The 14134-nt window shown below is 34.9% G+C and overlaps 1 protein-coding gene across 9 annotated transcripts in view, besides 1 other annotated feature; it reads right to left on the reverse strand.

The window, feature by feature from the left end:
• The window catches only part of MDGA2 (MAM domain containing glycosylphosphatidylinositol anchor 2), an 835983-nt gene that overhangs the window by 425214 nt on the left and 396635 nt on the right, over window positions 1-14134 (reverse strand). The window lies entirely within an intron of this gene.
• Window positions 13589-13668: a silencer, noted in NCBI's record as "silent region_5695". NCBI's record gives its function as "represses an Ori minimal core promoter by ATAC-STARR-seq in GM12878 lymphoblastoid cells {active_cell/tissue: GM12878}" and the evidence as "EXISTENCE:reporter gene assay evidence [ECO:0000049][PMID:35858748]".

A 14134-nucleotide genomic window follows, 5' to 3' on the forward strand; every position in this document is an offset into this window, starting at 1 on the left:
AATGCTATTCCACCCCTAGCCTCCCATCCCCAGACAGGCCCCCATGTGTGATGTTCCCCTCCCTGTGTCAGTGTTTTCTCATTGTTCAACTCCCACTTATGTGTGAGAACATGATTTTATTTTTTAATGTTGCTGTAAAAAGGTACCTATGTTCAGTGTTATGCTGGTAAATGTTTAACAAGTAGCTCTCTAAACAAATGAAACCAAGCAAAACAAAAAGCTTCGATTTGTAGCATTTGCCAATTTCTATGATGAAATATTCTCAACAGGGCAGTTTTCAAATTACCACTATAATGGCATTGAATGCAGAGTTAGGAAGAGATGCACTGTACATCATTACATAGCATTTCCATCATATGGATTCAGTAGACATAAATAATTTCAAAAGCATTTGTAATACAGTAAAAGAATTATGAAGTGATTAGTTTTGAGTATGTATTACATTTGGTTTTAATATATTTAATTGTAACACCGTGTCATTTAATTTGTAATGGTCATTGTGTTTAAGAATAATCTTTCACAGGCCATGAAGAGATGGCTCTAGCACATCACTCCCTATGTTATAAAGTTAATCAAGATTTAATAATATATGTATCTCCATGATAGCAAAATTCATATTTTAAATATCCATATAAAAACATTCTAGAGAGTTTTCATTAGTTGGTCTATTTTCTATTCATGATAGTTTGAGTATGTTACTATCTTATTTGCTTTGAAGTTCATGGAGAAGACCCTAAATGTAATGGCATAAACCTGACATTATTGTGGAAGCCAGTGTTTAACTTCGTTTTGGGAATGCATTAAAAAAAAAAAAAACTCATTAGCTTATCATAGGATAAAATTATTTTATTTAAAAACTGACTAGCCAAATCTGAAAACTCCTAGAGGAATCACAACTCCACTGTAAGGAGTGGTGACATTACTATAATCTTATCTCACATTAGAGGCCTTCCATGTTAATACCAAATAAACTAATGCGCCCAAGTTCCCAATAACACAGAAGTTTAAAATTTTCCAATCAAGCTCTCTTCAGACCTTTAAAAAGCAAATCACAAATCACAACACCTACCACATAAGATATACAGAAATCATAATCTCTGGCCTCCACAAATCTTTACTACTATTATTACAACTAATGCTATTGATTGCAAACACTATGAGCAAGGCATGGGTCTAGGATTAAATGAGGTCACATAATCCTCATATGTTACCTCATTTAATCCTCACAGCAAAATAGGGAGGTACCTCTCATCTTCAATGTATAGGTGGACAAAGAGATGTAGTTTAAATAGACTAAGTAACTAGCCCAAATTATCGCAGGGATAAAGCTGGAACCCAAACCCAGGTCTGCTTAACTCCCAAGCCCATTCTTTATTCCAGAACATTTATTATCATATTATCTCTACTCACCTGTCCTCTGTCTACCCAGTGTTCAAACTAGAAACCCCAGACTTATTTAATTTTGTCTAGTCCTTCACTCCCTACATATATTCAATCACTAAATCCCATAGGCTATACTTCCAAAATAAGTCTCAGACACGTTCATCTCCACTGCCACTACCCTGGTCAGGCCACTGTCATATCTGACCAATGTAACTACGAGTCTTCTACTTCGTCTCCTTCTCTTCCATCTTGCCACTATTCCCTGCCTCCTCATGCTCAATCATTCTTTAGCATGTAGCTAGAATAATCTTCCTAAAATTAAAATCTGATTCTGTCAATATCTTAATTAAAATATTTCAGAGAGGACTCAACTCCAAAGTCCTTATGTAGATTTTCCTCAGCTCTTCAGGATCTGTTCCCTATAATCTCTTCAGTCTCTGGAATTGTATTTTCCCCTCTTAGAGTGACTGATTTCTGGTTCTCTGAAGGTGTCAAGCTCTCACCACTTAGCTTTCTAACAAGTAATTTTCTCTGCCTGAGGTGCTAATCTTCTGCTCCTACTCTTCTCCAACACTTCCAGTGTAATTTGATTAATTATTCAACTTTCAACTTCACTCTTTATGCATAGCCTTTTTGGGCTCTCAAAGTCTAGGAGAGGTGCTCTGCCTTCATGTTATCCAGAACATCCCCATTCAAAACACTTAGCACACTAATTCATAATTTTCCTGTTCTCTGAAGTCAGAAACTATGTCTGTCTTATTTTTGTCTATATACCTAACTTTGAATATAGTGGCTTACATGGTAATGGTAATCAATAAACATTTGTTGAATGAATTGATGAGTTTATTCAGAGGATTAATGAGGGATGATTGCATGAAGTACCTGGTAACACTGTCCTTGTTAAGAATCTAACCATGTCTATAGATACAAAGGTGGAAAAGGGAAATGACACAGTAAAAGCTATTTTGACCTCTCCACTTTGATCTCAAAATATGATTCTTTTTTTGGTAAATACACAGTTTTTAATCATAATTATATGAATGTGGAAATATTCTAAGTGAAAAAAAACAGTCTTTAAAATTAAGATCACAAAGGCAATTTAATGACTTGGAAAGGAAATGAAATGATTTTAAATTCCATTAAAATTCATTTTATTGAATGTTTTTATATGTATTCATCATAACTAATGTTAATGACATAAAAAATTTGACTCATTGATTTAATTTTGTCCATATCCAATTTTTAATTGTTATTTATGTCATTTTTTTTCTTTTCCAGTCACTGTGACTGTTGATTCCTAATTTCTCAGGTCACGAATGGCAAATAGAAACTTTGTCACAATAATTTAATTTTTCCATTATTTTCTGGAAATAATGGTTTAAGTGTATGCATATCTGAACAATATCTGTTTTATAGGTTACTTCTAATGAACACACACATACCAATTTGAAAATCCCATAGAAAACACAATCTTCCTCAATTGTTTTTTTCTTCTACAAATTTTAAACTTAAATTTTGTCCACTGTTTGCTTTGTGTTATTTGTACTGGTATTATTTATTATGAATGATATAAATGATTAATAATTTGATTTATTTTTCTGAACAAAATATAAAGCACTTAAAATAATTTCAAGCCCTTTAGTAAGTCAAAGTTATAGTTTCTAGGTGCTCAACATTAGGGTCAAAATGTTATGGTTTGATTAACAAACATTTATTGGTAGTACTGAGCAACGTTCTTTCTGCCCTTCCCTTGAGTTTTAAACATTATTTTGTTTATGGGCTTAAGTACCTAACACAATAGGACAAAGGCTACAATCTACTCATGCAGCCTCAAAACATCTTATTTCCTTTTCTTCTTTTTTTTTTTTTTGAGACAGAGTTTCGTTCTTGTTGCCCAGGCTGGAGTGCAATGGTGCCATCTCGGCTCACTGCAACCTCCGCCTCCCTGGTTCAAGCCATTCTCCTGTCTCAGCCTCCTGAGTAGCTGGGGTTACAGGCATGTGCCACTGCACCTGGCTAATTTTTTTGTATTTTTAGTAGAGACGGGGTTTCACCATGTTGGCCAGGATGGTCTCGAACTCCTGACCTCATGTGATCCACCCGCCTCGGCCTCCCAAAGTGCTGGGATTATAGGCATGAGCCAGTGCGCCAGGCCCTTATTTCCTTTTTATATACAGGCAAATTCATTATAAAAATAATTTTGAAAAATTTATTTTAAAAAGAATGATACTAAAAGAACAAATGGCTGGATTCTACTGACTATTTAAAAAACAGAAAAGACAGGAATACAAACAATAGTCAGGACTAGAATTCAGACACATTCCATCCTGAAACTCTATAATAATGAGAAAGCAAGGTGCCAAATGCCTCTAAACTCTCCATTTCTGAAAACTTGAAGTGTTTTACTGTCATATGTCTAGATGCAATTCTGATCTCTTTGGTGCCAAAACCTTATAATTATGTAACCTTTAGAAACAAAGATGCAGTTTGGGTTGCACAGTTATGTCTACCCTGTGATGATCTGATGATACTATGAAACTCTACTGCAAACTATGTCTGAAACATTCTCTGCATTAATGAAGCATGAATTAATTCTATGAGTAGATAAATTATTGGCAATGTTAATGGAAATCAGTGTTTAAGGATAAATGCTGCCATATGCAATAGAATAATAGCAAAATATGATTTAAATAAATATGCTTTACTTTTTCTGTAAGCATATTAACACTTTGGGATTATAAAGTTTTCACAGAGTACTGTGAAGTAAGGCTCACTGTGAGCTAAGTCCTACTTGTTAATACCTGGGTAAAACTGAGGAGGAGAAAAAAATCTCTGTGGATTGAGGAAGGCTCCAATGGTAGGACTTGGCATTTAAGTACAGTAGTTAGGTTTAGCTGAGGGATATAGTTTAGGAAAATATTCTGTCATCCTTAAGATCACTGCCTAGTACTATACGTAGTAGGACTTCATGGGCCCTTCCCTAAGCATTTTTTTTTGGTGAAGCTATGTCATATATGTATTCTTATAAAAGGGAAGCTATAGGCCCTTTGAAACGATCCATGGTCATCATTAACTATATTCATTTATACCATTCTGTACGTGAAGAACATAAAGTCAGTTACTTTCTCATGTACCAATTTCCTTATCCAAAAAGTAAAAAGACTAGACAGGACAGTTTTCATAGAATGAGTGTATAATTTGTATTTCTAAATCAGAGGACTTTGTGTCTTCATTGAAAATTTAGGAGACCATAATTAATCAAAGAAGCAGTAGTAATAACTCATTCTAATCAGCAAGTAGCATTTTTTATGAAAATTCCTGAAACATCATAAATAACCAGGTTCTGAAAAAAATTCAAGTAATTGCAAACTATAGAACATAAATATGCTTTGTTGATCCTTGCTTCATTAAAGTATCAGTAAAGTATATGACAGACTCTAGAATTTGGTAAGTTCTAGGCTCTTACTCAGAGCATAATGTTTTTTCAGATTTTAACATAAAAATTTCAAGTTTGTGACATCTTTGTGAGTACTGAGATGAGAAAAATTCAGTAGAAATAAGCAAGTGATATAGCATCATCTATGTAGGCACCTTTGAGGGTCTGTTTTCATCTATATTCTTAGATTCTTTCAACATATGACAAAAGAGACTGATGAAATAAAGTCTGGAAAAACACCAATATTTTTTCCCCTTGCAACCCATTACATCAGCCAGCATTTCCCTGTAGTTGTGATTATTACATTATGACTTGATTACTAACTATTACTGCCACAGTTGGAAAAGTGAAAGCACAGCGTGGAGCCATTTCCATTAAAGGAATATGAAATTCCATAACAAGCTCTGAGGCTGCACGGCTGCTGTGGGGTTGATCTCAGAAGTGCATAACTATCTACTTAAGATGCTGTTTGAAGGAGCACCCTAACTTACATCATTATTTCATTTAGTTTGAACTGTACCATGGATTTTTCCATTAAGCAATACCAGACACTTAAACACTGTTATTTGTGTTCCAAAAAAGGTAATGTGATTTTTTTTCTACCTACTTTCCAGAGTACCAGAATTTTCTACTGCGTGTATGTGCAATCCTGATTGTGTCTAATAGAACAGGATCAAGCGGTTCCATAAACTAGAGACTGCCAGTCATCTTGAAGTGGCATAACTGAGAAGAGAAGCGTTAATATTCATGTGGGTAATATTTGTATATGCCATGTAAGAACTCGGAGAGAAAGTAGTTTCAGTTGCTATGATTTAACAGAAGAACATAAAATAAAAAGACCCAAATATATTCAAAACATATAGATTAATGTTAATGGGGAAAAGGAATGGTAATACCACTTTACATCTCTTCTTGGTTTATGTGTGGCTCAAATGACAAGGTGGCATGAGATGAGGAGGTGATGTGAGGAAGCTCTTTTACGGTGTTTTTAGGACAAAATACAGTGATGGAAAAATACAAAAACTTCTTAAATATTTTATAGGAGAGTAATCATCACTGTAAGAAAACTACAAATACATTTTAATTTATGCTTGGAATAGGCTGTATGTAAGCGTGCACTGTTTGTGTGTGTGTGTGGGCACGTGAGCACACATGTGAATATGCTCTCAAAATAATAGAAAGACGTAGAAATATATGTCTTCATTTGACTTTCAAAACAAAAGAGGCTTGTTTACTCATGTGATTTCCTCTAACCGCAATCCTGCAGGGAAAATCTATACTTAGCAGGATTGAAGATGTCCCTAGAAGCTTTCCAGGGAAAGTTAAAAGGAAGTCACTCCTCCTCTTCTGTCTGTTTGCCATTTTCTTTCCTGTGTAGGATTACTAACTTTAGTCTTGAATGCATATGCTCTGCAGTAGAAAATGCAAGGTTTTAGGGTTTTATTATCAGAGAGAGGAACTTAAAAATGGTTCCAGACCTCCATATCTGCACCCCAAACCTTTCCTGCCCCCAAAGTCTTAGCTCTACCTGCCTTTGCATTAGTGCTGCTCCAATACTAGCAACAGCTTCACCTTCGAATTCCTTCTTTTTATTTTTAATATTTTAAGCACAATTAATTGAAAATCCCTAATGCAATTCTGTCCTATTTCCCCACAACTAATTTTGAACAGAAAATACCTACAAAAGTACAGTGCGAGCAAGTCTGTTGGCCAACTAAGAGTTTGCATGTGTTTTTTCTTTTTGAAAAAGATGAAAATAAAGTTGAAATGTAAAAATCTAAAATGTGGTTCCAGGTTCTTTCGCAAATATTCACTCTGCAGCAGAGAATGAGAATTGCGTATAAGTAGAACCCTGGGAAAAACAGACTGATTTGAAAGATGCTGGGAGTGCTCATTGCCCTGGAAGGAGTCATCAAACAGCAGTAGGAATGATAAAAGTCAGAGTTCCCGTCCCATTCCTGTGGCTGGCTCTGCACCTCCTGACCTTGAATAAGTCATTTAAGCTACAGAGACCATTCTTTTCTCCCTTTAGACATAAAACATCAATAATGTTAGAAAATAGCTAAAAAACTTTAAAAACTTATAAATAATTTTATCAGTAAAATTTTGTTTATAAATAATTTCTCAAATATCAAATATTCATTCCTTATTTTCTTCTGGATTTCTAAAATAATTTTCTTTCTCAATTGTGGTGACCAAATTCCAGAAAAACTGTTTTAATCTAGGACTTCACCCTTGACAAGTCACAGTATGCTGAAAATCACTTTTAAGTTGATAGTTTGCTATTGTGTACACCCCAGTTTTGACACTCTAGATATTCATAAACAACGTTTTGCTTTTCCTTTACATGCTATTATTTCATGAAAGTATCCTCAAGCCAAAACCTTGACAAAGTCAAATGAAAATGCTTAGCATTTTTTTTCTTTAGTTAAGTATAAATAAGAAATACAACACATTAAGTGTTAAAATGAAATTTAAGGGAAGACGAGGGAAAGGAAACAACTAATGAAAGAGCAATTGTTAATTTCGTTGAGACCTAACTACCTGCCCAGGCCCTTTGCTAGGTGCTTTCTATGGGCTGCCTCACTTACCATCACACAACCCCACGAGGGAGGCATCATGATTATCTCTATTGCACAGATGAAGAAACTGAAGTCAAAGCTAAAGGTCTTACTGAAGGTTTCATTGTGGGTGAATGGCCAAGCTATCTCTGATACCAGTTATGTCACACCAGAAGAAAGGAGAGAGAACAAGATAGAAATAGAGATTAAAATCATGGTCAAGAGAAGAAGAAGATGGGAGGGGGAGTTGAAAGACGAAGGGAAGGAAAAGTTCTCACCTATCCTCTGCCCTTCTAGGATGGACCTGTTCACTCCCTTCACCCACTCTTAAACTCATATCCAGGGTTAGAAGCAATCCCCATATCAGCTGTACTCCACTTTTTCCCTAGTACTCCAGTTGGGCTTTTAATGAAGAAGAAAAGGGAATACAGATAATTTGACTATAGAAATATCTTCAAGTTTTTTCCCAAGGAAACCATTTGCAAAAATTGACACTTTAAATATTATTGGTAACAAATTTCATGCACCTCATTCCATAGCTATTTTCATCACACCAGTGTGTTTTCACGGGGTTAACCTATTAACACCTTTCCATTTTTAAAAAGTCTATAGAACAATATACATATGAGGTAGGTGTTTGCTAATCAGTTAGCGAAATGCCATTAAATTAGCTTAGCTGAAGGTAATTGGTTACTATAAAAAAATACAACTCCTTAGATGCAGGGAAATGCATAGGCCTACTTTCCACTTAACTAAGGCAGTGATTTTTTACTCTAAGGAGCCTGAAGCAATCTTTGGAGGTATCCCAGGGGATGACGCTGGCCACGGGTTGGATCTCTTGACCCCCTTTTTAGTCCCTGATAAGCAGAACAACTCTGTCCTTCTGACTTATATACTGGATTTTGAATAAGATTTTGGTGGAACAAAGAGTTCAGTTTAAAAAATCTTGCAAATCACTGAGGTAAGGGACTTTCTATTTTTCTCAAGCATAATTTTGAACATAAAATCAACTCATAATTGTTACTTAAAGCCATCTTCAAAATTCGTGTCAAATTATATTCTGATATTATTAATGAAGCCAGGATGACAGTGGAATCTTTCAGTAAAACCATATGATAATATTTGAATAACAATATTTTAGTGGTTCAGTCCAGCTCTTTTGCTCAAGTATACTGAGGCAAGGAAAAGTCAGAGCAAACTCACAATGTTTGAAAAGCTTAATGGTGCTTTAACGAAAGATAAAATAGTCATAAGGGATTTTTTGAATTATAAGATCCTTATAACAAGAAGAAAGTAAAAGGAAGCTGATCTGATTTTTCCTTCATAAAATCATATTAATGGCCTGGTACATTTTGTCACTTTCAGTATGTAAATATTGATTGTCTTCTCTTACAATTTATTGTTATCATTCACACTTTCAAGGTGAAACCTTTGCCTTATTAAAATTTATATTTATTTTCAAACATTTAGAGAGAGATTTTTCCTGTCCATAAAAACTTTGAATATTAACATTTTTAAAAATAATTTCAAAAGCCTGTTTGAATGTAAAGGATAATATAGTGAAGTTCAGTTGTATGCTCCCTATGCATGAAGACCTATGCCAGACCCTGGCAAAAGTTTAGAAAAACAACAATAATAATAAAGAAGAATTTGTCTCCGATCATGAGGAACTTTGAGTTTAGCTATAAAGATTGACATATGAGGAACTTTTATGTCAACATAAATATAAGCACAAGCAACCAAAAGAAAGGAAAATGAGCTCAAATTGAGTTTCAGATAAATTATTCTAGAGGCTACACTAAGAGTAGGGCTTTTATTTTTTTAACGGCTTCACTGCAATCACTACTGAAATTTCATTCATACCATCCAACCTACCCATTTAGAGTTTTACAATTCAGTGTTTAATATATTCACGTGGTTGCGCAACCATCACCAAAATCAGATTTTAGAACATTTTGGTTCCCTCTAAAAGAAACCCTGTAGCCATTAGTTATCACTCATCATCTCTTGCCATTGACTCTTTCCCCAACCCCACCAGCCCTAAACGACCACTATTTACTTTATGTCTGTATGGATTCACCTATTCTGGACATTCCATATAAACAGAAGTATGCACGATGTTTTTTTTTATGACTACTTTCTTTATTAGGATAATGTTTCCAAGGTTCTTCCTTTTTGCGCATGTATTATTAGTTAATTTATTTTTATTGCTGATAACATTTCATTGCATAGATAGGCCACATTTTATTTATCCATTCATCAACTGACGGATATTTGGGTTGTTTCCACTTTTTGGTACTATGAGCACTGTTGTATGAACATTTATGTGTACAAGTTTTTGTGCGAAGGTATGTTTTTATTTCTCAAGTGTACGCTAAGGAGTAAAACTGCTGGGTCATATTGTAACTATGTTTAGCTTTTTGAGGAATTCTCAAATAGTTCTTCAAGGTGGCTGCATCATTTTTTATTACTACTGGCAATGTATAAGGATACCAATTCCCCAGCACTTGTTATTGACCTTATTTTTGTTCATAGGCATTTTAGTGAATATAAAGTGGTGTCTCCTTGTAGGTTTAATTTGCATTTCCCTAATGACTAAAGATGTTGAGCATGTATTTTACGCACTTATTGAACACTTGCATATCTTCTTTGGGGAAATCTCTATTCAGATCCTTTGCCCATTTTAAAATTGCATTATTTTTCTACTATTGAGTTGTAAGAGTTCTTTATAAACTCTCTATACAAGTTCCTGATCAGATATATGATTTACAAATACCTTCTCCCATTCTGTGAGGTGTTGCTTCACTTTCTTAATGGTCCCATTTGCAGCACAAGCGTTTCTAATTTTGATTTAGTACAATTTATCTACTTTTGTTGTGATTATTGCTTGTGCTTTTGGTGCCATATTAAGAAATCACCTCAGCTTAGGTTTGAATGATGAGTAAGAAGGAACAAATCAAGAATAGTGGAACCTTATTCCAGACAGACGTTAGCGAACAAGCAATGTCATGTAAACATGATATACTGTGAATTCCTCTTTTGTTAGCTTAGAACAGGGTAGAGTCCCACAGAGCCATACCTAACAACTTTGGCATACCATTATATAGATTTTCTAATGTACGATGTGGTTCCCAGATGGATATTATTCACACTATGCTATTGCTAGTTACAGGTTAAGCTCAGTTGAAAGAGTATATGTGCTGAAAGAAGGCCAATGTAATATAAACATTTAAAAAATATTTATATTTCTTTAAATAATTAAAATAACAATTACACAATTAAAATATTTATGCCTCTCATGTGGAGGCCCTAAGGCAAAGTCCAGTTTAAATATTTTAGTTACTATCCTAGATTTAAACTAAATCTAGATAACTGTCAAATATACCTAAAAAGCTTTATGTAATACTATAATTCCATGAAAAAAGGGGGAAACATTTAATAATATTGCTAACTATAGCACTCATGTTAATATTTTTTGCTTTAGACAAATATTTCCAGTTTCATTTTTAAACATGAAGTGTTTTGCTTAGTTTTTTTAGAGTTTAGTACATTGAACTGAAGCAGAGAAGCGCCCGATCATCTTATCTTACAGGAGAGAAATACTTCACTTCTGCATGAGAGCAGCCTGCGTAATGTAATGAGCCAAGGTCTAAGAGTTGACACACAGTTCCTGTTCTTCCCTGCATTAACTTTGTGTCCTCTGAAACATCACTTGCCATCTCTACATTCCCATTGTCTCAAGCGAAAAATTCAAGGGTTTGACTAGACAGTCTTTTCAACTGTGACTTTCCTGGATGAAGTGGCCAAGCAGAAACTACTGGTGAAGCCAGTGATAAACACCTCTGTCAAGGCAGTGTAGACATGCAGTGGTAGTAGTTTGTCACCTATATGATTTTATTTGAGAGTGCCAGTTCAGTCTGTCAGAAGTATCTTCCAGCTATTCATCTCTTAATTAAACATAATCAGGCATTGGTTTAAAAATGCATAACACTACCAGAGTCCAAATTATAAGTTCTAATCCAGTCTATGAGGTGAAAGGGAACCTCCTTAGATGAATGAGGAAACTAAGTCTTGGAAATGATAAATTGATTAAAAAACATGCTACTATTTAGCCGTAATCCCTGGTATCTCTCCAGATTACTTATCAGAAAGGAAATAAATACTTGTGCAAATACCTTATTCTTAAATCTAAAATCCAGAAAAATGTGTATCAGGCAATAATAGATTAATATATTAAGGTGGTCAGATAAACCACCAAATGTTGATGGAGGTGTTTTGTTTAATTGAGTAAACCACCTTTATAAAAATGGGTCATTTTTATTTATTCTAAGTAAAAAGAGATAATGGGTCATACTATAATTCCATTTTGTCTCCAATGGAAGTTATCTCTGATAAAAAAAATTCCAATTAAAAAAGACACTAGCAAAGAAACAAATTGTAATTCTGTAATTGCCAATGTCTCTGCCAATTAATACGTGATGACTATTCTGTGCCCCAGAAATGTGTTATTTGGAGTGGTCAATGAGTTTGGTCAACTTGGTCTGAAGTACACATCTTTTGTTCTTCCTCTGAATTACAACAGCAATTTATTTTTTCAGCTTTCATCACGCTCCTCAATATCTTCTTCTGACTAGAGTCTAAGCTCCTTGATATTCCCTACTAGTTTATTTTCCATTCATTTCTCTTACAAATATATATTTAGCAGTCCTAGGTTACTGTGTGGAGTACAAAGTCAGAAATCCAAGACTAAAATACCATACCACACCACTACCAGCCTGGGAATTCTCTTTTCTAGGAACAGGGCCTGACCACGGCGGACAGGGCAGTGGACTCAAATCTACAAGGGACAGCGAAGCTCTGAGCCATAAAGCTCTTATGAAGGATCAGGCTGAAGCCATTCTCTCAGTGCCTTTGCCTGAGCTCACACCCTTGTTTTGCTTCCTTCCCTGCTCCATCCTGCTTTCTTCAGACCCTGCCAATCTCCTGTGAGCACTTCCCTTAACAAATCTCTTTCATGTTAATCCTCATCTCAGAAACTGTTTCCAGGAAACCTGACCTAAGACTTGCTTATAGAAGATAAACAATTAAAAACATATATGCAATGTGGATAAACAGTGAACAAGACATCCTTCTATTTTTCAAGGGAGGCAGGCTTAAATAATTAATTGCACATTTAGACCATTTTTATCACCTTGATTTAACTAGCAATGCTCTAGCAGATATTCCCTAAATATGTGTTGAGTGAACAATTATAAATATTAAATTAAGCAACAAATATAAAATACATATATTCATTGTCTAATTCTTATGCATTTGATTGGACAATATTGACCAGAGAAGGACTTCAGAGAAGAAATTTATTTAATTGAAGATGGAAAGTAAAACAGGGTTAATATTAACTATGAGAAATTGAAAGCATCAGTTGGGGAAAAGCATATAGGTCACTTGGACCTAATCTACCAAAACTATGAAATGTTTCTCCAACCAAAATGATAGGGCTAAGAAATACAGTGGGAGTTGGACTGAGATGAATTAAAATCTCAGGAAGGCTAAATTGTTCATGCATTTCTCTTGAATGTCTTGGTAACAGGACTGAAACTTGAGAGTACTTACTGACAATTGCCCAACCCCGCCAGTTTCCTGGAAATGCTGATGGCTAGGAACCTCACCCTAAGTAAGAATTTCTTTACCATCATTCTGCTCTATGACAAAGTGAGCCCAGAGATGAAGAGGAAGCAAAAAACAGGCAAGGGATTCCAGGCATCAGCCAGCAGAGGGGAAAAAGAGTTAGGGAGGGAAAGCCCAAGTAGCTATAGAGGGGAGTAAAGGATGGAAAAGAGAAAGAAAAACCTCTGAGGTTTAAAATTTCCATGGCTGCAAGAATGGATACACAATTCAAGTTGAATGATGAAGAGTCAAGATAAATAAATAAATTAATTAAATAAAAATAAACGAATGAACACACAAAAAAATCAGAAAAGTTACTGCAATAACAGGGATCAAATTCAATACATAAAGTAAGAGTAGTAAAAAGGTTACTCTTGGAGAATATTTTAAATTTTTTTCAATTTTATTTTTAAATTGACAAATAATAATTTTACATAGTCATGGGGTCCACAACGAGATTCTGATACATACAATGTATAGTGATCAGATCAGGGTCATGAAGCCAGAACTCAGACTGTGAAGCTGGCTACAGCTCTGGGAAACACTGCCCCCTAGAGGTCCTCTGTGTTTTCAGCGAGACCAGCTTTCACCATAAACTGTCAGGAGCCAAGCCACAGACTCAGGCACCCGGGATCCCCAGGCAGAGACCTCAAACCGGGTCCAAAATTATGGTCCAGTCATCTAAAGACCTGTGTTAAGTATCAGGGCTTAGTGAAGGATGTCAGATTAGAATGAGATTATTTTTCTTTTTCTAGTCCTCACCAACCTCTCAGTACTTAAAAACTGAGTACTATTCAATTTTTAAATTTAAGGTATGGAATAGATAATATACGCATATGACACACAATTCAAAAGAAACAAGAAATGTATATAATAAAAAGTAAGTATCTTTCCTCCTCATCCCCTGTCCCCTACATTATTATTAGCTTTTTGTATGTTCTTTCAGGATTATTCCATGAATTTTTCATACACATGCCAGCACTGTGTTTCCACTTGCCTTGTCATTTTCCCTTCTAATTTAATAATATATCTTGGGGAAAGTTTGACATCAGAATATATAGGAAGGCTTTATTATTTTTAAAAACTG

The sequence above is a fragment of the Homo sapiens genome, chromosome 14 (assembly GCF_000001405.40).
Source record: "Homo sapiens chromosome 14, GRCh38.p14 Primary Assembly".
Classification (NCBI taxonomy): domain Eukaryota; kingdom Metazoa; phylum Chordata; class Mammalia; order Primates; family Hominidae; genus Homo; species Homo sapiens.